General features: G+C 44.2%; 2 protein-coding genes and 1 pseudogene across 2 annotated transcripts in view, besides 2 other annotated features; 2 read left to right on the top strand and 1 right to left on the bottom strand.

The window, feature by feature from the left end:
• The window catches only part of ZHX1-C8orf76 (ZHX1-C8orf76 readthrough), a 48,096-nt gene extending 30,669 nt beyond the window's left edge, over positions 1 to 17,427 (top strand). Inside the window, exons 3-6 of the mRNA NM_001204180.2 lie at positions 4,474 to 4,569; positions 5,677 to 5,820; positions 11,861 to 12,318; positions 16,986 to 17,427. Of these exons, the coding sequence (NP_001191109.1) occupies positions 4,474 to 4,569; positions 5,677 to 5,820; positions 11,861 to 12,318; positions 16,986 to 17,145 (858 nt within the window). The 3' untranslated portion in view covers positions 17,146 to 17,427. The remainder of the gene's footprint in view (positions 1 to 4,473; positions 4,570 to 5,676; positions 5,821 to 11,860; positions 12,319 to 16,985) is intronic.
• Positions 1,955 to 2,455: an enhancer, noted in NCBI's record as "H3K27ac hESC enhancer chr8:124253403-124253903 (GRCh37/hg19 assembly coordinates)". NCBI's record gives its function as "activates a minimal SCP1, AML or CMV promoter by ChIP-STARR-seq in primed H9 embryonic stem cells {active_cell/tissue: H9 hESC(primed)}" and the evidence as "EXISTENCE:reporter gene assay evidence [ECO:0000049][PMID:30033119]".
• C8orf76 (chromosome 8 open reading frame 76) lies at positions 2,241 to 23,651 on the top strand. The gene is made up of 6 exons (NM_032847.3): positions 2,241 to 2,388; positions 4,474 to 4,569; positions 5,677 to 5,820; positions 11,861 to 12,318; positions 16,986 to 17,118; positions 23,321 to 23,651. Exons 1-6 carry the CDS (start codon positions 2,272 to 2,274, stop codon positions 23,513 to 23,515), a joined length of 1,143 nt encoding a protein of 380 aa, NP_116236.1. The 5' UTR covers positions 2,241 to 2,271; the 3' UTR covers positions 23,516 to 23,651.
• Positions 2,335 to 2,454: a silencer, noted in NCBI's record as "silent region_19495". NCBI's record gives its function as "represses an Ori minimal core promoter by ATAC-STARR-seq in GM12878 lymphoblastoid cells {active_cell/tissue: GM12878}" and the evidence as "EXISTENCE:reporter gene assay evidence [ECO:0000049][PMID:35858748]".
• UBA52P5 (ubiquitin A-52 residue ribosomal protein fusion product 1 pseudogene 5) lies at positions 6,306 to 6,805 on the bottom strand (annotated as a pseudogene).
• Positions 23,652 to 25,328: the final 1,677 nt, after the last annotated feature.

The raw sequence follows: 25,328 nt of genomic DNA, 5'->3' as shown, positions 1-25,328 counted from the left end.
ATAACTACCTTTTATCCATAAGCACCCTAACACTTCCTGACCGTTTCAGCAGAAAAAAAAATTTTTTTTTTTTTGAGGCGGAGTTTCGCTCTTGTTGCCCAGGCTGGAGTGCAATGGTGTGATCTCAGCTCCCGCAACCTCCGCCCCCCAAGTTCACGGGATTCTCCTGCCTCAGCCTCCCAAGTAGCTGGGATTACAGGCATGCACCACCACACACTGCTAATTTTGTATTTTTAGTAGAGATGGGGTTTCTCCATGTTGGCCAGGCTGGTCTCGAACTCCCGACCTCAGGTGATCCACCAGCCTTGGCCTCCCAAAGTGCTGGGATTACAGGCGTGAGCCACCACTCCCGGCCAGAAAAATGTTCTTAAGTGGATCTTGATGAATTCATTCATCAGTAACTAATGCCTGGAGGCTGTTCAGCTGGAGCCTCCCACCTGAGGCTGCTGGATAAATGAGCTGGTTCTAGATTTTGGCAATAATTAGCAGAGAGATGGATTCTGAAACCTGGGGGAGTGGATTAGGTGAGTTTGTGGAGGAAAAAGTTGGGTTGAAGAAAGAACGCTGAACCTGGTCAACATGAAAGAACCCCTCTCTACTGAAAATACAAAAAAGTAGCAGTGTGTGGTGGCCCGCGGGAGGCTGAGGTGGGAGGATGGCTTGAGCCAAGGAGGTTGAGGACGCAGTGAGCCGAAATTGCGCCTCTGCACCCCAGCCTGGGCGACAGAGCGAGACCCTGTCTCAGAAATAAATAAACAGATAAAATTTTAAAAAAGAAACCTGGAAGACAGATAAATGGTGGAAGAGAAACTGGTGAGAGTGAAGAGGAACAGGAAAAAAATCGGGGAAAACCTTTATGTTTATTTCCTACTGTGTAATATGGCACAATATTGTGCTGTACAGTATTGGCCAGCATTTTGTCAACAATCTTTACTTTCTAGAGTCAAGAAATATCTTAAAAGTATAAGAATTGTAGTAAATGTTAGTCTTAGAATTTTGAGATTTGGTGTTCTCCAGGTCGAATGAATGCTCCCTGATCTAGCCTCCCACGGTATATTTCTGTGTCTTTTCTTTCATAAATGCGTGAATGACTCCGGTCTTTGTTATTGGTGGTAGTGTCTCTTGTCCGGAAGCACGGAGAGTACGCATTCATTTCTGTATTTCCCAAGTTTCAGCCACATAATGACCGAAACTTAACAAGTTACTTAACCTCTCCAAACTCCAATATCTTCAAAATAGGATTTGCAAAATGGGAATCACTTTGGCTTTCATAAGGTGGTTGTTAGCCGAAAAGAAAAAATGTGCTTAACACAGTGACGGGAATGCACAGTGGTTGACAATTGGTACTTGCACCGGGCTTAGTGGCTCACGCCTATAATCCCAGCACTTTGGGAGAACGAGGTGGGCGGATCGCTTGAGATCAGGTTCGAGACCAGCCTGGGCAACGTAGGGAAACCCAGTCTCCACAAAAAATACACAAGTTAGACGGTCATGGTGGCGCGCGCCTGTAGCCCCAGCTACTTGGGGGACTGAGGCGGGATGATAGGTTGAGTCTGGGAGTTCGAGGCTGCAGTGAGCCATGATCTCACCACTGCACTCCAACCTGGGCGACAGAGCGAGACCCTGTCTCGAAATTATTTTATTTATTTTATTTTATTTTATTTTTTATTTTGAGACGAAGTTTCACTCTTGTTGCCTAGGCTGGAGTGCAATGATGCGATCTTGGCTCACCGCAACCTCCGCCTCCCGGGTTCAAGCGATTCTCCTGCCTCAGCCTACCGAGTAGCTGGGATTACAGGCGCGCGCCACTACGGCCGGCTAATTTTTGTATTTTCAGTACAGACCTGGTTACTCAATGTTGGTCAGGCTGGTCTCGAACTCCCGACCTCAAGTGATCCGCCCACCTTGGCCTCCCAAAGTGCTGGGATTACAGGCTTGAGCCACCGCGCCCGGCCTCTTATTTTAATTTTTAAAAAGGTACCTGCGAGTTTTAAACAGCTACTCTGGGGCCAGCGTGCTTTTTGATGCGTGCAGGTAAGGATCATTCTGTCCATCTCCTGACACAGAGAAGTCAAAACCTCCGTCCTGGGGTTCGGTCAGTTAGTGGGTCAGATAATCATCTCAGCTCAACCACTACTCCCAACCAGCAGCGGCCACGTCCCCGCGTCGCCCTCAAAGACTACAAGTCCCAGCGTGCCGCGCTCTGGGCCGTGGAAGCCCCGCCTTTTCCGGCGGGCCCCGCTTCCTCGTTGCCCCCGCCGCGGGCGCGAGATGGATTCCGGGTGCTGGTTGTTCGGCGGCGAGTTCGAGGACTCGGTGTTCGAGGAGAGGCCGGAGCGGCGGTCAGGACCGCCCGCGTCCTACTGCGCCAAGCTCTGCGAGCCGCAGGTGAGAAGCTGGGGCCTCTTCGCCTTATCCCGGGCCCCAGGCCTCGCCCTCCGCGGGGCCCCGGCCCCGGCCTCGGCCCCTCCGTCCGCGCGAACGCAAACCCTGGCAGGCTCCAGCGCCCGCCGCGTCCCCCGCCGTCCCTCCTCCTCCACGGGGAAGCGGCTTTCCCAGGCCCCATTCCGGGTCCATGGGCGAGAATCCCCGCGTTGTAAGCGGCTTGACTCCCACTTGGCATTTGGCCGGCCTGGCTGCTGCCGGCTGGTCTCAACGCCCCTGCCCTGCAATCTCCGGTACCTCCCGTTTGTCTTCACTGCTCTTACAGCTGGGCAGTCAGGCCTCCCAAAACGGTGACCTCCGGCAAACCCACTCTCCCCTCCCTCTTCGGCGAGCTCCCCCTGCCCGTACCAACCCCGCGCTGATGGTTAAAGTCCTTCAGTTATATCCGTTTTTCAAGGCACATCTTAAATGTCATCTCCTCTAGGAAGTCTTTTCTGATTTCGTCTTCCAGCCAAATATTTTTGTCTTTGGCCCCCTTCCCTCTATTTAGCTTCTACTTAAAGCACTTGTCAGTATTCCCACAAAGTCCTGAGACCCGGAGTGCTAAATGATCGCACCAGCATGGGTTCTTGATGCCCTTGGCAGTGCCTAACAGTTTTTATTAATAATAGTGACTCCGCGAATATTTTTGAATTAGTAGAGTATTACTTCCTATTCTTTCATGAGTGTAAATAGTTCATCAGTCAAAACTAATATTTATGGAAAATACGGAAGTGTTCCGGGCACTGTGGTGGGTTCCTTCGCATATACTGTCTCATTCGTTCCTCACAATTGTACTGACAAGATGCCAGGCACTCGATAATTACTGAATTGTGTTTTTGGTTATTTCAGTTGCATTTTCTCCTTATCACATACGATCTTTCAAAGTTACCTTCAGCCCTGGATCATGTAGACTCAAAACAGGGATTGGGCTTGGAAATCATGTGGCAGAACATTAAAAAAACTCTGGTTATGAGATAGGACTCTTGAATTCCAGTGTTGGCTTTAACCACTTGCCTTGAAGGTGTCAGCTCCTTATTTGTCCCTTCAGAAAAATAATACATGCTGGCTCACAGAGTTATCGTGGGAGTGAAATGAGATAATGTATATGAAAATACTTTGTCAGATCTGATGTGCTGTACAGGTGCATAGAATTTAATATAAATTCTAAAATGAAGTGATTTTTTTCTTTTCTTTTTTTTTTTTTTGAGGTGGAGTTTGTTGCCCATGCTGGAGTGCAGTGGCGCGATCTCGGGTCACCCCAACCTCCACCTCCCGGGTTAAAGCGATTCTCCTGCCTCAGCCTCCCAGCTAGCTGGGATTACAGACGTGTGCCACCATGCCGGCCTAATTTTGTATTTTTAGTAGAGACAGGGTTTCTCTACTGTTGTTAGCCAGGCTGGTCTCAAACTCCTAACCTCAAGTGATCTGCCCGCCTCGGCCTCCCAAATTGCTGGGATTACAGGTGTAAGCCACTGCCTTTCCCTACGTTATTTATTCAATAGTCAAGCAATCTCAGTCTCACTTTCCTTTTTATCCATAGGATTTAAATCAGTAGAAAAGCAAATAAAGTATCCTAGATGGGCATTTCCTCAGACTTCTCTCCTACAGGTTTTTGGTATTTGGTTGCATTGGAGCCTCCTTCTAGCCTTAATTTCTGTCTCCTTTGCTGAAATTCTAGTTTTTTGCCATTATGACATTTTCATAATAGCACCATATCTATAATTCTTCTTTCCTATGTCCTTTCAGTAAAGAATTGTCAATCCCTATTCCAGTCACACTAAAGTTTATCTACAAGAAAGCATGTCTCATTTTAAAGAACCAATGTGGGCTGGGTGCGGTGGCTCACACCTGTAATCCCAGCACTTTGGGAGGCCAAGGTGGGCAGAGGCAGGATCACTTGTGCTCAGGAGTTCAAGACTAACCTGGCCAGACTCTTGAAGAAGTCTTTTTTTGACGTTTAATCAATTATATTATGGGAAATTGCTTCTGAATATGAGGTGGAAAAGCATAGCTCACTCTGTAATAGGCTATTTTCATGATTTCAAGTGGTTTTATGAAGAAACAGAAAGCAGTGATGATGTTGAAGTGCTGACTCTCAAGAAATTCAAAGGAGACCTGGCCTACAGACGACAAGAGTATCAGGTAGAATTCAACATATGGTGCTTGAAGTGGGCTCTTGTTTTATCAGTTATGGCATATGTAAATAACAGTGTACCAAGTTAGTGTGGTGTTTATGAAGATGAGTTTAATCTTTTGTGATGTGTGTTTATAATCTGAGGCTCCCAAGTTTCCGTTCTTTTCTGCTTGGCTCTGTATGATTTGTTTGTTTTCTGTAACTCCAACAAAAGGATCTCTTTGGGGTCCTTGTCCTTGTAGGTTTATTCCTCAAGGTTCTGAATCTCCTCATTACTTAGGACCCTCTAGCACAGACATTTCACAGTGCCACAGGAGCAAATCACCCCAAAATGTATAAGAAAAAGAACTAACAACTAGATGTTAGATTGCGTTACATATGTATCTCATTTCATCTGCATGAGAATCCTGTTTTTATTTTGCTGATGAAAAGGTTATAAAGTAAGTTAGTGGCAATACCAGAATTCAAAGCCTAGTATATTTGGTCCCAGAATGTTCTTTCTGCTATATCATGATGCTTTCCATAGTAGTAGTGATTATATTCTCTAGCCATTCCTTCTCTACCTTTTAGGAAAGTAGGATTGACTAGATGTATTAGTCCATTTCCATACTGCCATGAAGAAATACCCAAGACTAGATAATTTATTTAAAAAAAAAAAGGTTTAATGGACTCACAGTTCTACATGGCTGGGGAGGCCTCACAATCATGGCAGAAGGTGAAGGAGGAGCAAAGTCACGTCTTACATGGCGGCAGGCAAAGAGAGTGTGTGCAGGGGAACTGCCTTTTATGAAACTATCAGATCTCCTGAGACTAACTACCATGAGAATAGCATGGGAAAAACCCACCCCCATGATTCAGTTACCTCCCACCAGGTCCCTCCCACAACATGTGGGGGTTATGGGAGCTGCAATTTAAGATGAGATTTGGGTGGGGACACAGCTAAACCATATCACTAGAATAGTGAAATCTTCTTTAATTCATTTAAATATTCATGTAATTCATTGGTCAGTTATAACATTACTTTCCACCTAGGAAAAAAAATCACCCCTATTCTGAATCCTTTTTTCTGTTATGTTTTCCTCCTTTCATTTCTTTATTTAACAAATAATTTCCAGAAAGCACTGCAGGAGTATTCCAGTATCTCTGAAAAATTGTCATCAACCAATTTTGCCATGAAAAGGGATGTCCAGGAAGGTCAGGCTCGGTGTCTGGCTCACCTGGGTAGGCATATGGAGGCGCTGGAGATTGCTGCAAACTTGGTGAGTGATTTTATTGCTTATTTTCACACACATTCCTATAAGGGTGGTCGAATGGTGTATTTTTTGAAAACAAAACAAACTTCTTGCTAGTAGCAAAATCTATGGGTTTGGATAAGCAGAAGAAAATTGTCAGGGGTGTGAGAGTTTTATTATGATGAACAACTTGGAACCTAGACATAATCATTTTCTTGTAATATTTTTCTTGTGTCATGCTCAAAATTCTGTATTGCCTGAAAATCTCCTTTGCAGAGGTTTTTCTCTTGTTAGGAGTAACATTCAGTGTGGAAGGACTATGAGTGATCTGTTTTCTTCGTTAGATTGTTTTTAGACGTTGTTCTCCAAAATTTCTACAATGAACAGTATTTTTCTAAGCCAAAAAAGGTCCCCCCCCCAAAATGACTAAATACTCATTACCAAGCCACACTTAGTAGTCCTTTTTATTTTTAAGTGGAATTTGCAGAATTTTTTTTTCTTTTTCCTTTTCCCCAGTCAACGAAAGGGACACTTTATGACACTTTATTGAGGCCCCAGGGCCATGAGGCCTGGGCAGGACGCCGCTCTTTGGGGAAGGAAGAGCCTTCTTTGTCCTTCGTCTTGGGGTACAGGTTGTTGGTGTGGCCGCGCTTCTTGCGGGAGTTGACAGCACGGGGTGGTGCAGGCGGGCACAGCACTTGCGGCAGATCATCTTGTTGTAGTTGTATTTCTGGGCGAGCTGGCGGAGGGAAGGCTCAGTAATGCCACCTCGCAGGCGCAGCACCAGGTGCAGGGTGGACTCCTTCTGGATGTTGTAGTCTGAGAGAGTGCGGCCATCCTCCAGCTGTTTGCCCGCAAGTATCAGACGCTGCTGGTCAGGTGGGATGCCCTCCTTGTCCTGAATTTTGGCGTTGCTGGGCTCGATCTCAAGGGTGATGGTCTTGCCTGTGAGGGTCTTCACAAAGATCTGCATCTCTGCATCTGGAGCTCGGCAGCCTCGCTGAAGAAAAAGGGAATTTTTCTTTCTTTTTTTTTTTTTTTGAGACAGAGTCTCACTCTGTCACCCAGGCTGGAGTGCAGTGGAGTGATCCCGGCTTGCCGCAACCTCCGCCTCCCGGATTCAAACGATTCTCCTGCCTCAGCCTCCTGAGTAGCTAGGATTACAGGCATGCACCACCACGCCCAGCTAATTTTTGTATTTTTAGTAGAGACGAGGTTTCACCATGTTGGTCAGGCTGGTCTCAAACTGACCTTGTGATCCGCCCGCCTCGGCCTCCCAAAGTGCTGGGATTATAGGCGTGAGCCACTGCACCCGGCCTTCTTTTTCTTTAAAAAAAAATTTTATTGCCTTTTTCCACACATTCTAAAGCGGAATTTTTTTTTAAGGGATAAAGAAAGGTAGTTCTTTCCAGTTCTAGATTTTATTGCTTTTGTTTCTAGGTTAAGGCATTATTTGTATTGATTGTTGTGTAAATTTTATATGGGAATTAGTCTAAATGGACTAGTTTTCTTCCTCGGAGGAAATTAAGGAGACACTGTGGCACCGATTTTGAGCTTTGTGGATGTACCGCCCAGCGATCAGATCAGCCTAACGTATGCACACAATTGAGCTGACATCTGCCATCTCATTAACTAAGAGAAATCCCTAACCTTTGTTTGCTTAAGCCTTCACTGCATAGGACCTCAGCCTCTTGCAATTCGAGGAAACTTTGGCAGTAATTGTTCTAAGAACATGGAAAACAGCTGTGTTTTGTTCTTTCTTTTCTGTTCTCTACTAATTGGGGGTTAGTGCTTAAGCTGAAAGATAGATAAATCGACTTCCTAAGCGTTTGCATGAGCAGTTAACTTGATGGGATTTCATTGTGTTCATTTCTAGTCTTCCCCAGTCCGCAAATTAACAGTGCTCTTGGCCCTTCCGGTGCCTTTCTGTAGCCTTTACTACTGTCCTGCTCGCTCGGCGTTTCTTGCACGTCACTGTTGTGCTTCCTCCTCCTCCTCTTTGATTGTTGAAGGTAGTGGCAGCTGGATTCCTGGCAGGGGTTGGGTCATCTCTGGTTCCTTCTAGCTTAGGGAATCTGTTTCGGTGGCTCAGAGAAGGATCTGTTGCCAATCAGCCGATGCCAGGTCTCCGGTGCTGGGGATGGTTACTAGGCAGGAGAAACACCAGTCAGAAAACCCTGGACTTTCAGAACTGTGCATCAGGCGTCCTGGCAACCTGTTGGGCAGGACTGTCAGGTGGAAAGCGGGCTCGTGGGGTTCGCCCCTTTCTGTCGGCTTCACACATGATCTCAGCGGACCTTGCGTGTCTGCACGGCATTCTCATTTCCTGGTAAGCTGTGTTTTGTTTTGTTTTTTAAAATTTCTTCTCTACCTGAGGACCCTCGCCTTTTGTTACTAGCTCTGGCCCATATCTGTTTTTTTGTGACGGTGGTTACTGTCTTTTCACATTCTGTAGGGGGACCTGTCGCAGTATGTAACATTGAACAAAATAGACAGCAAGTCCCGGGGTGGCCATCAAGATTCGAACATTTTCTGTTCACAATTTCTGCTGAAATTCATTCACCTCTTTTCATGATTTTTGGATAAAATTTATAGTAGGACTTATTTCTTAAATAATTACAACATTTTCTTATAGTGGTTGGTATTCCTGTGTGGTAACTGTGGTAAGAAAATGGCTTTCTGGTAGTAAGTGACTCCTTTTCATTTATCCACTCAGCACTCAACAAACATTTCAGTCCTACTATTTTCCTGGTTCTGGGTTCGATGCTAAGGAGACAAACAATATATCGTGTACATGCAGTGCTCATCTAGTGTCTGGTCGGTTTAGCCAGCGCACATATACATCAGCTCTTTTTTTCTTTTTGAGATGGAGTCTTGCTCTGTTGCCCAGGCTGGAGTGCAGTGGTGCGATCTTGGCTCACTGCAGCCTCCTCCTCCCAGGTTCAAGCAATTCACCTGTCTCAGCCACCCAAGTAGCTGGGATTATAGGCATGTGTCACCACACCTGGCTACATTTTTTTTTGTTTTTTTGTTTTTGTTTTTGTTTTTTTGTTTTTTAGATGGAGTCTCGCACTGTCGCCCAGGCTGGAGTGCAGTGGCGCGATCTTGGCTCACTGCAACCTCCGCCTCCTGGGTTCAAGCGATTCACCTGTCTCAGCCACCCAAGTAGCTGGGATTAGAGGTGCCCGCCACCACATCTGGCTAATTTTTTGTATTTTAGTAGAGACGGGGTTTCATCATGTTGTCCAGTCTGGTCTCGAACTCCTGAGCTCAGGCAGTCCACCCGCCTCAGCCTCCCGAAGTACTAGGATTATAGGGATGAGCCAATGCGCCCAGCCTTTTTTGTATTTTTAATAGAGACAGGGTTTCACCATGTTGGCCAGGCTGATCTTGAACTCCTGACCTCAAGTGATCTGCCCACCTCGGCTTCCCAAAGTGCTGAGATTACAGGGGTGAGCCACCTTGCCTGGCCATATCAGCTCTTCGTAAGTACCTTTTATTCCTTGACTTTTAGTATAACTGACTGTAGCTCTCCTGCTTACCAGCCACGTTATGGCAGGCAAGTTATCTAACCTCTCTGTGACCCAGTTGCCTTATCTGTAACATAAGGAAAATTACTGAATCTATTTTAAAGCACTGTCAGGAGGATTAAATGAGGAAAACACTTAGAATAGTGCCTGGCACTGCGTAAACACTCAGTAAATGTTAACTGTCATCATCATGTTATTGTTACAGAAAGAGTTGCAGTATTCTGGAAAAATCACTCACTCATTTAAATAGATTTTTTTTTTTTTTTTGAGATGAAGTCTCGTTCTGTTGCCCAGGCTGGAGTGCAGTGGCATGATCTTGGCTCACTGCAAGCTCTGCCTCCCGGGTTCATGCCATTCTCCTGCCTCAACCTCCTGAGTAGCTAGGACTACAGGTGCCCGCCACCACACCTAGCTAATTTTTTGTATTTTTAGTAGAGATGGGGTTTCGCCATGTTAGCCAGGATGGTCTCGATCTCCTGAACTCATGATCCGCCCGCCTTGGCCTCCCAAAGTGCTGGGATTACAGATGTGAGCCACCACGCCCGGCCTAAATAGAATTTAATTTCCAGAAGGAGTTTACTAATCCACCTCTCAAAACCCTACTATTGACAGGGCGCAGTGGCTCATGCCTGTATTCCCAGCACTTTGGGAGGCCGAGGTGGGCGAAGGTCAGGAGTTCAAGACCAGCCTGGCCAACATGGTGAAACCGCATCCCTAATAACAATTTTAAAAACTCTCTTGGTGTGGTGGTGGGCACCTGTAGTCCCAGCTACTTGGGAGGTTGAGGTGGGAGGACTGCTTGAACCTGGGAGGTGGAGATTGCAGTGAGTCGAGATCACGCCACTGCACTCCAGCCTGGGCAAAAGAATGAGACTCCATCTCAAACAAACAAAACCCTGTCATCAGGATCATAGTTTGTGAGTAACAGCCTCCACCCTAACACACACTTGCTTTATCAATATCAAAATGTTTTTGAGGCTGGGCACAGTGGTTCATGCCTGTAAGCCCAGCACTTTCAGAGGCCGAAGGGGGTGGATCACTTGAGGTCAGGAGTTCGAGACCAGCCTGGCCAACATGGCAAAACCCTGTCTTTACTTTATGCAAAAATTAGCTGGGTGTGGTGGCAGGCACCCGTCATCCCAGCTACTCCGGAGGCTGAGGCAGGAGGATTGCTTGAACCAGGGAGGCAGAGGTTGCGGTGAGCTGAGATCGCACCATTGCACTCCAGCCTGGGCGACGAGAGCGAAACTCTGTCTCAAAAAAAAAAAAAGTTTTTGAACAATATAAAGCCCTATAGACTGGTTACAGAAGAAGGGTAGCATTTGTTACAGATGTAGTCTATACATGTTGTTTTCCTTATAAATGACATGATTTGACTTTAGAAAAGTCATTACTCAAACGTGATTTAACATCTGTGATGGCCGAGGAGCTGTGCTCTGTACTAGGAATTTACATTGAACAAAAGCTCTTATGGAGCTAAATGGTCTGTTGGGAAGGACAGATGCTGAACAATAGTAACAATAAAACGAGATGTGTTCTGTCTTTGGGAAGGTACAGTGTCAGCAAATCAGTCGTATGGGGCTTTATCTCCTATCTTTTCACTCAATGTGGGAATATTTAGAGCTGCCCGCAGGCCTTCACTTGCTGGTGTACAGTTTCCTGGGGCCGTACACCAGGTAGTTTTGCTCATGTTTCATGCTCAGTGTGGTTCTGTGAGGGAGCCTGATCTGGACGCTTGCAGGCCAGGCTTTCCTTAGACCTCACATCAACTTGAAGGTAATTTGAGTCTGCCATCTGCTCTCCGCAAACTTCAACTTACAAAAAGCAGGCCTGTTTTTACTAACCCAGAGGACATTTGCCATATGGCAAGTTAGGCAAGAGATGTTGGCGCTGGTTAAGGAGATTTGAAAAGGATTTTCTGATCAAAAGGAAACTAAGCAACCCCTTTTGGCCAAAAATTATAATTGACCTTGGTAATGGTTACCAGGGAAGGCATTTGGATTCAATTAGAATGCGTCATGAAGCATGGAGAGCTTCAGGGCTATCCTGTTTAAAATGTCTAAGCCAAATAAAATTTGGAAGTGGAGTTTGTTCAAATCCTCAAGGAAATTACCATTTGGATTTTTAGAAAGCCTTGAATATTACAATGGAATCATTAGGCCAGGATCTAAGAAAAGTGGCTGGGTCTTTCAGATACCTGGCTGAAGACAGTAAAGATTATAATAAAAATTGGAAATAAATGGATATTTATGTTTTTGATGCTGAACATTTGGCAGGCCACCATCTAGGAATTGTTAAGTTATTATGACATTAGGATGTTTGGGAATGGCTGGTGACTCTTTCTCTAGGTAGCATATATCTCTCTGGGTTTACGGTTTCAAACATGAGATATATTGAAATATATTTAGGTCACTCGTATAGCTACTGAAAGATACTTCTAATTTATAACATATACAACTTGGTTTTTTAGGCATTCTCATTTTATATGGAAAATGCTTTGAAGTTTAAACTTCTTAACCTTTTTTTTTTCTCCTTAGGAAAATAAAGCAACCAACACAGACCATTTAACCACGGTACTCTACCTCCAGCTTGCTATTTGTTCAAGTTTGCAGAACTTGGAGAAAACAATTTTCTGCCTGCAGAAACTGATTTCTTTGCATCCTTTTAATCCTTGGAACTGGGGCAAATTGGCAGAGGCTTACCTGAATCTGGGGCCAGCTCTTTCAGCAGCACTTGCGTCATCTCAGAAACAGCACAGTTTCACCTCAAGTGACAAAACTATCAAATCCTTCTTTCCACACTCAGGAAAAGACTGTCTTTTGTGTTTTCCTGAAACCTTGCCTGAGAGCTCTTTATTTTCTGTGGAAGCGAATAGCAGTAATAGCCAGAAAAATGAGAAAGCTCTGACAAATATCCAAAACTGTATGGCAGAAAAGAGAGAAACAGTGTTGATAGAGACTCAGCTGAAAGCATGTGCCTCTTTTATACGAACCAGGTAAGCTGAGAGTCACTTAAGCAACGCTTGGTAATCAGCTCAGAGTAAAGGCTTTATTTTCTAATTTTAAGCTTCAAAAAGTTCTAGGCTAGACATTTGGTATATATTTTTGAAATTTTCCTATGGTTGTGTTGAACGTTTGTCATTCTAGTGTGTAATACTTGGAAACAAAACTACATTTGTTTAAGAATACAACCTGTGTTAGCTGGTGTGGTAGCACATACCTGTAATCCCAGCATTTTGGGAGGCTGAGGCAGGTGGATCGTTTGAGCTCACGAATTTGAGACCAGCCTGAGCAACATGGTGAAATCCCATTTCTACAAAAATTTTTTTTTGAAAAGTTAACTATGCGGGCCGGGCGCGGTGGCTCACGCCTGTAATCCCAGCACTTTGGGAGGGTGAGGTGGGTGGATCACAAGGTCAGAAGATCGAGACCAGCCTGGCCAACATGGTGAAACCCTGTCTCTACTAAAATACAAAAAATTAGCTGGGCATGGTGGCACGTGCCTGTAGTCCCAGCTACTCAGGAGGCTGAGGCAGGGGAATCGCTGAACCCGGGAGGCGGAGGTTGCAGTGAGCTGAGATCGTGCCACTGCACTCCAGCCTGGCGACAGGGCAAGACTCCGTCTCAAAAAAAAAAAAAAGAGTTGACCAGGCATGGTGGTGCGTGCCTGTAGTCCCAGTTACTCAGGAGGCTGAGATGGAATGATTGCTTGAGCCTGGGAGGCCAAGGCTGCAGTGAGCTGAGATCACACCACAGCACTCCAGCCTAGGCAACAGAATGAAACTCTCAGAAACAAAAAGGAATATAACCTGTGTCATTGTCCAAGATGGAATGTTAAGATTAGAAAACATTAAAAAATTAGGAAAATAAAAATGTATAAAACACTGAAAAAGGGAGAAGACATATTTTAAAGAAGGAATTTTCTGTTCGTATATTCCACAGAAATCTACTAAAGAAGAAAATTAGCTCTTGTATTTGAATTGCTGATAATGGGAGTAGATGATGCTTAATTCATTCTACAGAGAATTCCCATGGTTTGTGCCTAGGGATACCAAGTACTTTTTATCTTTAAAGTATGAGTTTGAGGGAAGGGTAGGGAGAATACACTTGACCAGTTCTATAAATGATGAGAGAAGAAGCAGACTCTCTCATGTTTCAAATGGTACCAAAGAATATACAGATTTTTTAACTCAGGAGGATTCAAGAAATATTAACAGTGAGGCTTACTGAGAAGTGGTATCTATTTGGCAAATTTTATTTTATTATTATTATTTTTTTTTTGAGACGGAGTTGCTCTTATTGCCCAGGCTGGAGTGCAGTGGTGTGATCTCCGCTCACTGCAACGTCTGTCTCCAGGTTCAAGCAATTCCCCTGCCTCAGCCTCCTGAGTAGCTGGGATTACAGCTGTGCACCACCACACCCGGCTAATTTTTGTATTTTTAGTAGAGACAGGGTTTCACCATGTTGGCCAGGCTGGTCTCGAACTCCTGACCTCAGGTGATCCACCCGCCTCGGCTTCCCAGAGTGCTGGGATTACAGGAGTGAGCTACCGTTCCCAGCTATTTGGCAAATTTTAAAATGTATTCAGTGGATGCTTGTTTAGATTGACCATGTCACTAATTCAGAGGCACATTGAATGACAACCGTGTGCCAGACATGTGCTTGGTGCTAGGATCACAAAGATCATTTAAAAAGCAGTCCCTTATGCCCCTCACTCACTCAGAGAAATGGTATGTCTAGCCTGTAACTGCCAGCACAGGTGCTAAATAGTATATCAGTGCTGTGACCAACGTCAGGGAGCTGTTGGCGTGGCCAAAAGAAGGAAGCCTTTACAGAGGGGATGATGCCTCTGCTGAATGGTCCCTGTAGGAACCCTTGTCAGTTGACTGAGTGCTAGATGCTTTGTATACATTATTTCATTTTAATCCTCATGACTCTGGGATACCTATTGGGATCCCACTAGATGGATCAGGAAACTATTAAAATCATTCCCAAAGTGGTGCAACTGTGAAGTGCAGGGCCAGGATTTGGAGCTGGTCTCTGATTCCAGACCCTGTATTCTTTCAGCTTATCTTGCTCACTCCACGTTAATATTCCCCACGTGGGAAGAGGCATGCTAGGTAAAAAGAAGGCACCGCCCAGAGGGGCAGAGGATCCGTTCTAGAACAGTGTTGTCACATTGTCTGGTGGTAAGAGCAGCATTGGTGGTAAGGGCTCAAGGTAGGCTGTGGCCACAGTGCCAGGGTGGCAGAGGAAGTAGGAAGTAGGACTTTGGCGTCAGAACTGGTTTTGAAGAACTTAGTCAATTGCTGATGCTAAGTGGATGAACCTGAACTCTTGCAAGCGGTCTGACCTTGCACACATTCCTTAAACTCTGCTCTCTAGTTGCTTAATCTTGACAGATGGAGAAATGGGGAAAATGCCTGCTTCCTGGGGTTGTAGAATTAAAGTATTTAAAGTACTTATTGTCCTGCATGGTATGTAGTAGGCATTTGGTAAATGTTAGATTAGTACTTTTATTTTTGTTGTTTTTATTGTTAACACAAGATGTTTGGTGTCACAAGGGTTTGGTCTTTGTGCCGAAGGCCTGAAGAGTATTTGCAGGTTTTAAATACAGGAGCATGTGATAAGACCTGTGTGTGTGTGTGTGTTTTGGGTTTTGGTGTTTTTTTTTTTGAGACGGAGTTTCACTCTTGTTGCCCAGGTGGGAGTGCAATGGCGCGATCTCGGCTCACCGCAACCTCTGCTTCTCAGGTTCAAGCAATTCTCCTGCCTCAGCCTCCCGAGTAGCTGGGATTACAGGCATGCACCACCATGCCAGGCTAATTTTGTGTTTTTAGTAGAGATGGGATTTCTCCATGTTGGTCAGGCTGTCTCGAATTCCCGACCTCAGGTGATCCACTGGCCTCGGCCTCCCAAAGTGCTGGGATTACAGGCGTGAGCCACCGCGCCTGGCCAAAACCTGTGATTTAGAGAGCTCTGGTGACTGCGATGCTGGATTAGAAGGAGGAGCTAAGGACTAGAGGTTGTAGAGTAATTAGTGGAAGATGATGAGGGCCTGACCTAGGCTGGTACAGTGGTAATAAAAAAAAGAAATGGATGTCACTGCACGATAGAATAGACAGGACTTGGTGACCAGCGGAGTGTGTGGGAAGGTTGAGGGTGAGGAGACCGGAAGAGTCTCTGCAGAGTCTCTCGAGGATGCACAGGTGGATGGTGGTGCCTTCCGCTGAGATAGGACATCTGGGAGGATGAGCAGAGCCGATTTGGGGTGGAAGGCAATGATTTTAGGCTTGAAGTACCGAGTCGCGGGTGCCTGGAGTATATCCAGAGGGCAGAAAGCAAGTTACATCAAAGGGGTAACGAAGGTGAATGCTTCCCGAGGCCGGGTAGGTGATGTCAACAGGTCAGACTGAAGCAGACAGATGATCATTTTACCTGTGAGTCAGGTCAGGCTCCTTTCTGAAACGCCCGGATGGCTTCCCATTGCACTTACGTCAATTCCGCATTTCTTTCCATGGCCTGCAAGGTCTGATTTGAATTGGCCCTGCTTTTTTTTCCCACCTCATTTACTACACATTTTTCTCTCTGACTGTGTTCCAGCCACAGTGATCTTAGTGATTTTCAAGCATATCAAATTTGTTCCTGTGTCAGAGCCCCCTTCTCCCTGGCCAAGCCCTCGCCACCAGATGTTCTCCCACTGGTTCCTCATCAGGTAGCTCGTAGCTTGCCTGGTATCTCAAGGAAGCCTTCCTGCCTATACCGCCGCATCTGAAGAGGTTACTGTGTCCACCCTGTCTTGGGTTTTTTTCCATAGCACTTGTCACTACCTGAAATACTTATGTGCTATCTCCCTCCTTCCATTCATTCCATGAGGCCACAAGTGTGTTTTGCTCATCAGTATCTCTCATTGCCTAGCGTAGTGTTGGGCATGTTCCACAGCATGGAGAGCCAGTGCTTCTGGGCATTGCAGTAGGTACCAGTGAGAAAAAAGGGGAAAATCTGCATATTGAGTATTTATTAAAAAAAAAAAAAAAAAGGAGCCAAATGAGGAAGACAGGAGGAAGTTAAATGAGAGAGGAGACCAGCTATGATCATGACAGGGAAGTCAGTGGTAAGGTATCGCAGAGTGGTTGTCAGAGGGTCATCAAAGATTTGGCCCTGCTTGGGGTAATTGAAGTGTGCTAGCGAATCTAATTAGTCCTTGCGGTCAAGTTGCTGTGGGGTCAGCGAGATGGAAGGGTCACAGAACACTGACTTCAAAGGAGCAAATCCAGAGGGCCTGTGTGAGAGGAGTCTGATTGGGAGGCTCGTTCCTTTCACTCCAAATTACTTATCCTTTCAATCCCTTGACTTCCACAGGAAGCTCTTTTGAGGCCGGAAGCTCTTTTCAGGTGTTGCTCTCTGAAGATTTCTTTGAGCAGTTTTAGTCTTTATATTTTAGAAAAGATGAATCTCCAATGTAAAGTTGGGCAATTGATTCCAAGTCGGAAGCTTTAGGGATTGAAATGATAGTTCTAGTGAGGGTGGGTACCTGCTTTTTAACCTGGTGGGACTTGCAGCCGACTCAATACCTGGGCTTTCTGAACATTTCCTCGCGGCTTTCCTTTATCTGGAAGCGTTGGGACTTTTCGCCACGCATTGAGACTTTTCGGTTTTTCAGGCTTCTGCTTCAGTTTACCCAACCTCAGCAAACATCGTTTGCTTTGGAGAGGAACTTAAGGACTCAGCAGGAAATTGAAGATAAAATGAAAGGGTTCAGCTTCAAAGAAGACACTTTGCTGTTGATAGCTGAGGTGAGTGTATCCCTCGGGTTTATGTGAAACGAAGCATCATAGATATTTTCCCTGGCTCTGATAGCATTTTTTATAAAGCAGGGCCAAATTTAATCTACTGAAGGACTTGTCTCCCTCCTCTGTGTGCCTTTTGATCACTCAGCAATCACCAAGGCGGCCTCTTGATCGGCATTCCCCTGCAGCGTGCGGGACCGCAGGGGCTGTGTTTCATGTACTTGTCAGTGCTTGTTAGCACCTGCCTGCCTGAACATCATCAATGCCCAATAATTGTTTGTTTCAGTGCTGAATAAATGAATGAATGAATGCTTACATTTGTGTAGCAGTTCTATTTTTTTTCCTCCATTCATCATAACAGCTTGTGAAGTTGAGTAGAGCTAGAATTGAGGCTCAGAGAACTTGTGACTTGCCTGCGGTCAGATTTTCAGTGGGAGAGCTGGTCTGGAGCTTGTGTTTGCCAGCTGCAAGTCCATTTTATTCCTGCTCTACCCTGTTACTACTTTGATGGTTGCATAGAAATTCAAAGGTAATTTTTTTTAAACTAACATGTAAACCTTCATTAACTTTTTTTTTTTTTTGAGACAGAGTCTTGCTTTGTCTCCCAGGCTGGAGTGCAGTGGCACGATCTCGGCTCACTGCAACCTCTACCTCTTGGGTTCAAGCGATTCTCATGTCTCAGCCTCCCGAGTAGCTGGGATCACAGGCATGTGCCACCACGCCCTGCTAATTTTTGTATTTTTAGTAGAGACAGGGTTCACCATGTTGGCCAGTCTGTCTTGAACTCCTGGCCTCAAGCAATCTACCCACCTCGGCCTCCCAAAGTGCTGGGATTACAGGCCTGGGCCACCATGCCTGATCTCTTCCTTTTACTTCTGAGAGGCTACACTGGTTTGTTTTTCTCCTGTGTTTCTTAACGTTCCTCTGCCTCTTGGGACTCAGCTGGTTTCTTCTGTAGCGTAAGTAATGGCATGCTAAAGATTCCCTTGGCCTCTCTGTTTTCTACTTTTCTGTCACAGAAATCATCACCACACCCCTAGGTTCCATTGTCACCTCTGGGTTGATTACTCTCCAGTCTTTATCTCTAGTCTCATCTCTGGGACATGTGTCTCACATCAGATTAATTGCCTACTAGGTGGTTAACCTGGGATAATTATTGATTACTCTTCTGTCACTTCAAGTACAAAATGTCTAAAATGGAACTACTCATCAGAACACTTCCTGTAATCTCAGCACTTTGGGAGGCCAAGGTGGGTGGATCACTTGAGGTCAGGAGCTCAAGACCAGCCTGGCCAACATGGTGAAACCCCATCTCTACTAAAAATACAAAAAACTAGCCGGTTGAGGTGGCAGGCACCTGTAATCCCAGCTACTCGGGAGGCTAAGGCGGGAGAATTGCTTGAACCCGGGAGGTGGAGGTTGCAGTGAGCCGAGATTGTGTCACTGCACTACAGCCTGGGCAACAGAGGGAGACTCCATCTCAAAAAACAAAACACAAAAAAACACTTCTGATCAGTCTTTTAATTCTCCCAAGTTCCACATCCTCCAGGAAGCTTTTCCGGAATATTCTGCTCTGTGGTCATTTCTCCTTCCTCTGAGCTCAGATAGTGATTGCTTGAATAGATAGCTCTTTGGGCCCTAAGAAGACATAAGAATGTATCTTATGTTTTCAACTAGATACTAGGTTCCTTATAAGTAATAGTATGTTTTGAGCATCTTTGTATTCTTCACCATGCTCGATAAATCTGTTGGTTGGGTGGAAGAGTAGTTTCCTGTGTAGACAATGCATGTGATATACCAGTGGAGCTTTTTAAAAAGATGGAAAATGTCTGGGCCCTCGTTAGGATTGTAATTAGGATTATAATGTACATTTTGTTTTGTGCTTATTTTTATTTTTTAAAAGGTCTCATTCTGTTACTCAGGCTAGGCTGCAGTGCATAATCTTAGCTCACTGCAGCCTGAAATTCCTAGGCTCAAGTGGTCCTTTCACCTCAGCCTCCCAAGTTCGTAGGATTACAGGCACCCACCACCATGTCCAGCTAATTTTAAAATTTTTTGTAGAGGCAGGGTCTTGCTATGTTGCCCAGTCTGGTCCCAAACTCCTGGCCTCAAATGATCGTCCCGCCTTGGCCTCCCTAAGTGCTAGGATTATAGATGTGAGCCACCATGCCTGGCCTTTATTTTGTGCTTTTAATTTTAGTTGACTTGTAATAACATAGCCCTGTATCCTTAAATATTCTATGATCACATGCTTTTTTTTCCTGTTTGTAATTCTTTTATTTGAATTAGGATCCAAATAAGGTCTAAATACTATATGTGGCCCTTTTGTCTCATGTCTTTTTTATTCTATAACAACTGCTCTTCTCCCTCTTTCTTTTTTACTCTGATAAAATATGTAACTTAAATTTGCCATCTTAATCATTGTTAAATGTACAATTCAATGGTATTAAGTACGTATACAGTGTTGTGCCGCCATGACCATTATTTCCAAAATTTTTTCATCACCCCAAACAGAAACTCTACCCATTAAGCAATAACTCCCTATTTTCTTCTCTCTCTACCCACTAGAACCTCTAATCTACTATTTTTCTCTGTGAATTTATCTATTCTAGATATTTCAAATAAGTGGAATCATGCCATATGTGTCCTTTTGTGTCTGCTTTATTTCACTTAGCATAATGTTTTCAAGGTTTATCCATATTTAGCATTTATCAAAACTTCATACCTTCTATGGCTAAATAATATTCATATATATGTACATATCTCATTTTGTTTATCTACTCATCTTTTGATGGATACTTGAGTTGTTTCTACCTTTTGGATATTGTGAATAATGCTGCTATGAACATTAGCATATAAGTATGTTTAAGTCTCCTTTTTTGTTTGTTTTTTTTGTTTGAGACGGAGTCTTGCTCTGTCACCCAGGCAGGAGTACAGTGGCACTATCTCGGCTCACTGCAGCCTCTGCCTTCCAGGTTCAAGCAATTCTCCTGTCTCAGCCTCCCAAGTAGGTGGGACTACAGGCGTGTGCCACCATGCCCAGCTAATTTTTATGTTTTTAGTAGAGAAGGGCTTTCACCATATTGGCCAGGCTGGTCTCGAACTCCTGATCTCAAGTGATCTGCCTGCCTCGGCCTCCCAAAGTGCTGGGATTACAGGCATGAGCCACTGCACCCGGCTAAGTCTCTGTTTTTAATTCTTTTGGGTATATACCTAGGAGTAGAATTACTGGGTCATATATTAGCTCTGTTTAACTTTTTTAGGAACTACCAAACTGTACATTTTATTTTCTATGTTCTGATATTTACCTAACATTATGACATGGGCATGACCCTATATCCTAAATATTATTTGAGTACATAATTTTTAATGACTGGATAGTCAATTTTTGGACAAACTATAATTTACTTAGTTCCCTGTGTTGAACATTTAACAAATACTCAGTACCTATTTTAATAAATCCTTGCAAGAAAATCAATATGTGCCTTTGTACCTTTTGGAACAGATTATTAGAAATAGAATCGCTGGATTTAAATATATGAGCATTTTTAAAGACTTAAAGCACATTTCCAAATTATCATTTAGAAAGGTTAGTTCAATTTATATATCCTCTAGCAATATGTGAAAGCATTGTTTTTTCTACCCTGATCCTGACTATTAGATTGAACCATGTGAAATCAATCATTTTGACCTCTGTTTTATATAATTTAACTTAATAATATTACTTTAAAAATTGGTAGCTTGGTAGATAAAAATGTAATGTTTTTAGCATTAATGTTTATTTACTATTAAGATGAACAATTTTTTCATGTGTTATTGGCCATTTGTATCATGTCAAATGCCTAGTCTTGCTTTTGCTTCATTATTCTTTCTGTTTTTCATAGCAATTTTAAGAGTTCTCCCTATATTAGACTTAAGTATCTTTCTATAGTTACTATATTTTCTGAAGTTTATGATTTTTTTTGGCATATGGAAGTTTAAAATGTTTATGTGGCTGAATGTTTTGGCAGATTTTTGACACCTGTAAATATTGTGCCTATCTGTCCCTCTTTTGGGAATAGTGTGTTGTTTGGGTCTTACTATTATTCATTTATCTTTTTTTAAGAAAGGCATTTTTGGTGTTTTATCCCAGATTTTAAAATACTACATTTCACTGAATCCAGGAAATCATCAGTTTTAAGACATATCATTTGATGTGTCACTAAAAGAAAAATAAGATGCCTGCCGGGCGCGGTGGCGCACGCCCGTAATCCCAGCACTTTGGGAGGCCGAAGCGGGTGGATCACGAGGTCAGATCAAGACCATCCTGGGTAACACGGTGAAACCCTGTCTCTACTAAAAATACAAAAATTAGCCAGGCCTGGTGGCGCACGCCTGTAATCCCAGCTACTTGGGAGGCTGAGGCAGGAGAATAGCTTCGATCCAGGAGGCAGAGGTTGCAGTGAGCCAAGATTGCACCACTGCACTCCAGTCTGGGCGACAGAGTGAGACTCTGACCCCCCGCCCCCCAAAAAAAAGAAAAATAAGATGCCATTTACACTATCACATAGAGCCTCACTCCAGTGGTTATCAAATACATTTTTTAAAATTTTTTTTGGAGGTGGGGTCTCACTCTATCTCCCAGGCTGAAGTGCAGTGGCACAGTCATAGCTCACTGCAGCCTCCAACTCCTGGGCTCACGGCATCTTCCCACCTCCGCCTCCCAAGTAGTTGCTGGGACTATAGTTGAGTGCTGCCATACCCGGCTGATTTTTAAACAATTTTTTGGCCGGGCACAGTGGTTCATTCACATCTATAATCCCAGCACTTTGGGAGGCAAAGGCGGGTGGATCAGTTGAGGTCAGGAACTCAAGACCAGCCTGGCCAACATGATGAAACCCTGTTTCTACTAAAAATACAAAAATTAGCTGGGCATGGTGGCACTTGCCTGTAGTCCCAGCTACTTTGGAGGCTGAGGTGGGAGAATTGCTTGAACCCAGGAGACAGAGGTCACAGTGAGCCAAGATCGCACCACTGTACTCCATCCTGGGCTACAGAGCGAGACTCTGACTCAAAAAAATGATACTTTTTTTTGTAGGGACGGGGATCTTGCTCTGTTGCCCTGGCCGTTCTCTAACTCCTGGCCTTAAGCGACCATCCTGCCTCGGCCTTCCGAAGTGTTGGTGTTACAGATGTGAACCACCACACCTGGCTCAGATACATCTTGATTTTAGAGATGTTAAAATACAAAAACAAAAAAGTATCTTAGAACTGGTGAAATACCAGGCTTTAGTAAATACTGACTGTTGCCTAGTGAAGCTTGGCTCTCACTGGCAATTTCCTCAAACAATATGTAATCTTTGAAGATTTAAACCCAGTCCGCAAAACCATTATTTGAGCCTGCTTCTAATTCATTATAATTTGAGTTTTCATGAACACATTCAATATCCGGGTTTGCAGGAACCTTGGAGATTATCTAATGCAAATCTATGTGGAACTTAAATTCCCTCTACAACATCCCTGCTCCATGACTACATAAGCTTTCGTGACAGATGGTATGAAATGTTTTGGAACTTAATTTTAGTTCATTGTCATTACCCAAGGTCAGTCTGCTTACTTAGTGGGTTCAGGTACAAGCTTTCTACAACCTAACTTTGTGATGTCTTCTCAAAGAAACTAACCCAGAATCTTGGGACATGACCCTGTGTTCATCTGGGCCTGATTCTGACCAGTAGGGAGCAGTATTGTACCTTCATTGGTAACGGGCTCCTTAAATCCCCAAGATTGCTTTGGTTATAGAGGGATTAGAGTCCTTTTGGGTCAGGAAAAGGTGGGCCCAGCTACATGCTACAGTTGCATTCTCACCAACAGAATATGCTCTTTGAAACAAAAAGGGTAACTCAGTACTCCTGGTAAGCCAAATAGTACTGCTGCTGCAGCAGCACCAAAGTGATTCTTTCACTTGGGGAGAATGAGGGTAGAAATATGGGATATTTTATTTGTCCTTGGATAACTACTTCTGAGATCAGATAAGATCGGGCACAGTCAGGGTGGTATGGCCATAGACGGATAACTACTTCTGAACAAACATCTTTTCAATGTGTTGGGAATGTCCCCTGGCTGCTCAAGTATTTTCTGCCTTTGAATGAAAGCCTTCGCAGTTGATAACTAGCATTCCATGTCTCTGCCTCTTTTATTGGGACAGTTTTTTTTTTTCCTCCTGTTATAGGTTATGGGAGAAGATATCCCAGAAAAAATAAAAGATGAAGTTCACCCAGAGGTGAAGTGTGTTGGCTCCGTAGCCCTGACTGCCTTGGTGACTGTATCCTCAGAAGAATTTGAAGACAAGTGGTTCAGAAAGATCAAAGACCATTTCTGTCCATTTGAAAATCAGTTCCATACAGAGATACAAATCTTGGCTTAGTGGGTTATAAAAAACAAAACCACAAATATCTTGTACTGTATTAATTGTCCTTGTTTACTTCAGACAGGATCCATTGCTAATCATGGAGTATAAATGATTATTTATGTTTTATAAAACTGGCTTCTGTCTCAAATGATTTCTACTGCATTCAGTTTATGTTTTGTTTTCTTTATTTGGATTTCTCCTATCCCGTTACAAGTACTGTATCTTAGGACTATTATGCCTTTGGAAGATAATCTGTTGGGGAAGTGTATCAAGGAGGCTTTTAGATTTGTGGTCTTTTAAAAACAGTTACTATATTATAGCCAGCAGCATAAGAATCCACATTGGTTAGGTAAATTCATTGGGAATGACCAAGAATGTTGAGATGTGAAACTAAGCTATTTCTAAGAAGGGTGTGCCAAGCATTGTGAAGGGTCTGAGATCTTACCCTACTTGTAAGCTAACAGCTTAGCCTCTCCCGCTTTTCATGGATGCTGGCAGAAAGGAGACTCCTGGGTCAGAGACAAAGGATTTTATGACCCATGGCCCAGCAAGCAGTATAAACTTCAGTGTATTTGCATCAGTTTCTCTGCCTCCAAGTCCCAAGGGCACATAATGGGCACAGAAGGAATGCCTACGTTCACATACAGTGAATGTGCATTACCATGTCTCGTGATGCAATATGACTGGTTGCCGTACAGGAGAGGAGTGCTGAGTTTGGGAAACTCTAGACTTTGATAATGGGCAGTGAGCATGCTTGCCCTTTGCTCCAGAGGTAGATGCTGTCTCCTTTTTAAGGCTGTTCGCCCTGCAGACATCTTGGAGAAGATAGACTGGAACAAAGAACACTGAGTGCCTCTCTCACAAGATGCACAGAAACACGAGAGAGCTGTGGAGCTTTGTCTGCCAGGTTGATCATCCTGTCCTTTTTCAGCCACATGACTTTTAATCACAGTCTGTAACATCATCTTAAATACAAAGGGTGATTACCTTACTCAGTGAATTAGCTGGGATGGAAGAGCTCCCTGATGAGGAATTTAATAATAAATCAAAAACCAGCAAATGTTGTCCTGCACAACTTTTTTTTTTTTGAGACAGAGTCTAGCTGTTGCCCAGGCTGGAGTGCAGTGGTGTGATCTCGGCTCGCTGCAACCTCTGCCTCCCGGGTTCAAGCGATCCTCCTACCTCAGCCTCCCAAGTAGCTGGGATTAGAGGCATGCACCAACATGCCTGGCTAATTTTTGTATTTTTGTCCTGCACAACTTTTATTTGATCTCTCTCAGCAGAGGAAGAGAATGCCAGCCATGGGCTAAAAGGTGCAGTCATCAGGGTTTCCCTTCCACATTCTTCTGTCTCACTTGCCCTTTCTAGTACTCTCCTCAAAACAGGCAAAGAACTGCTCTTATATTTTGAACAACTCTTTTTTTTTTTTTCTTTTTGAGATGGAGTCTCACTCTGTTGCCCAGGCTGGAGTGCAGTGGCACGATTGCGGCTCACTGCTGCAACCTCTGCCTCCCAGGTTCAAGCAATTCTCCTGCCTCAGCCTCCCAAGTAGCTGGGATTACAGGCATGCACCACCACGCCCAGCTAATTTATGTATTTTTAGTAGAGATGGGGTTTCGCCATGTTGGCCAGTCTGGTCTCAAACTCCTGACCTCGTGATCCACCTGTCTCGGCTTCCCAAAGTGCTGGGATTACAGGCATGAGCCACCGCGTCCAGTTGAACAGTTCTTTTAGTGACCTCGATAGCATGACCAGCAGTTGCACATTAGTCTTAATGTGAAGCCAAAGACTGTATAATTAGTAGACATTTCAATTTTAGGAATTAAAA

Source organism: Homo sapiens, chromosome 8 (genome assembly GCF_000001405.40).
Source record: "Homo sapiens chromosome 8, GRCh38.p14 Primary Assembly".
NCBI classification, from domain to species: domain Eukaryota; kingdom Metazoa; phylum Chordata; class Mammalia; order Primates; family Hominidae; genus Homo; species Homo sapiens.
Note: the sequence above shows the minus strand (reverse complement) of the source record. Positions and strands in the feature narration are given on the sequence as shown.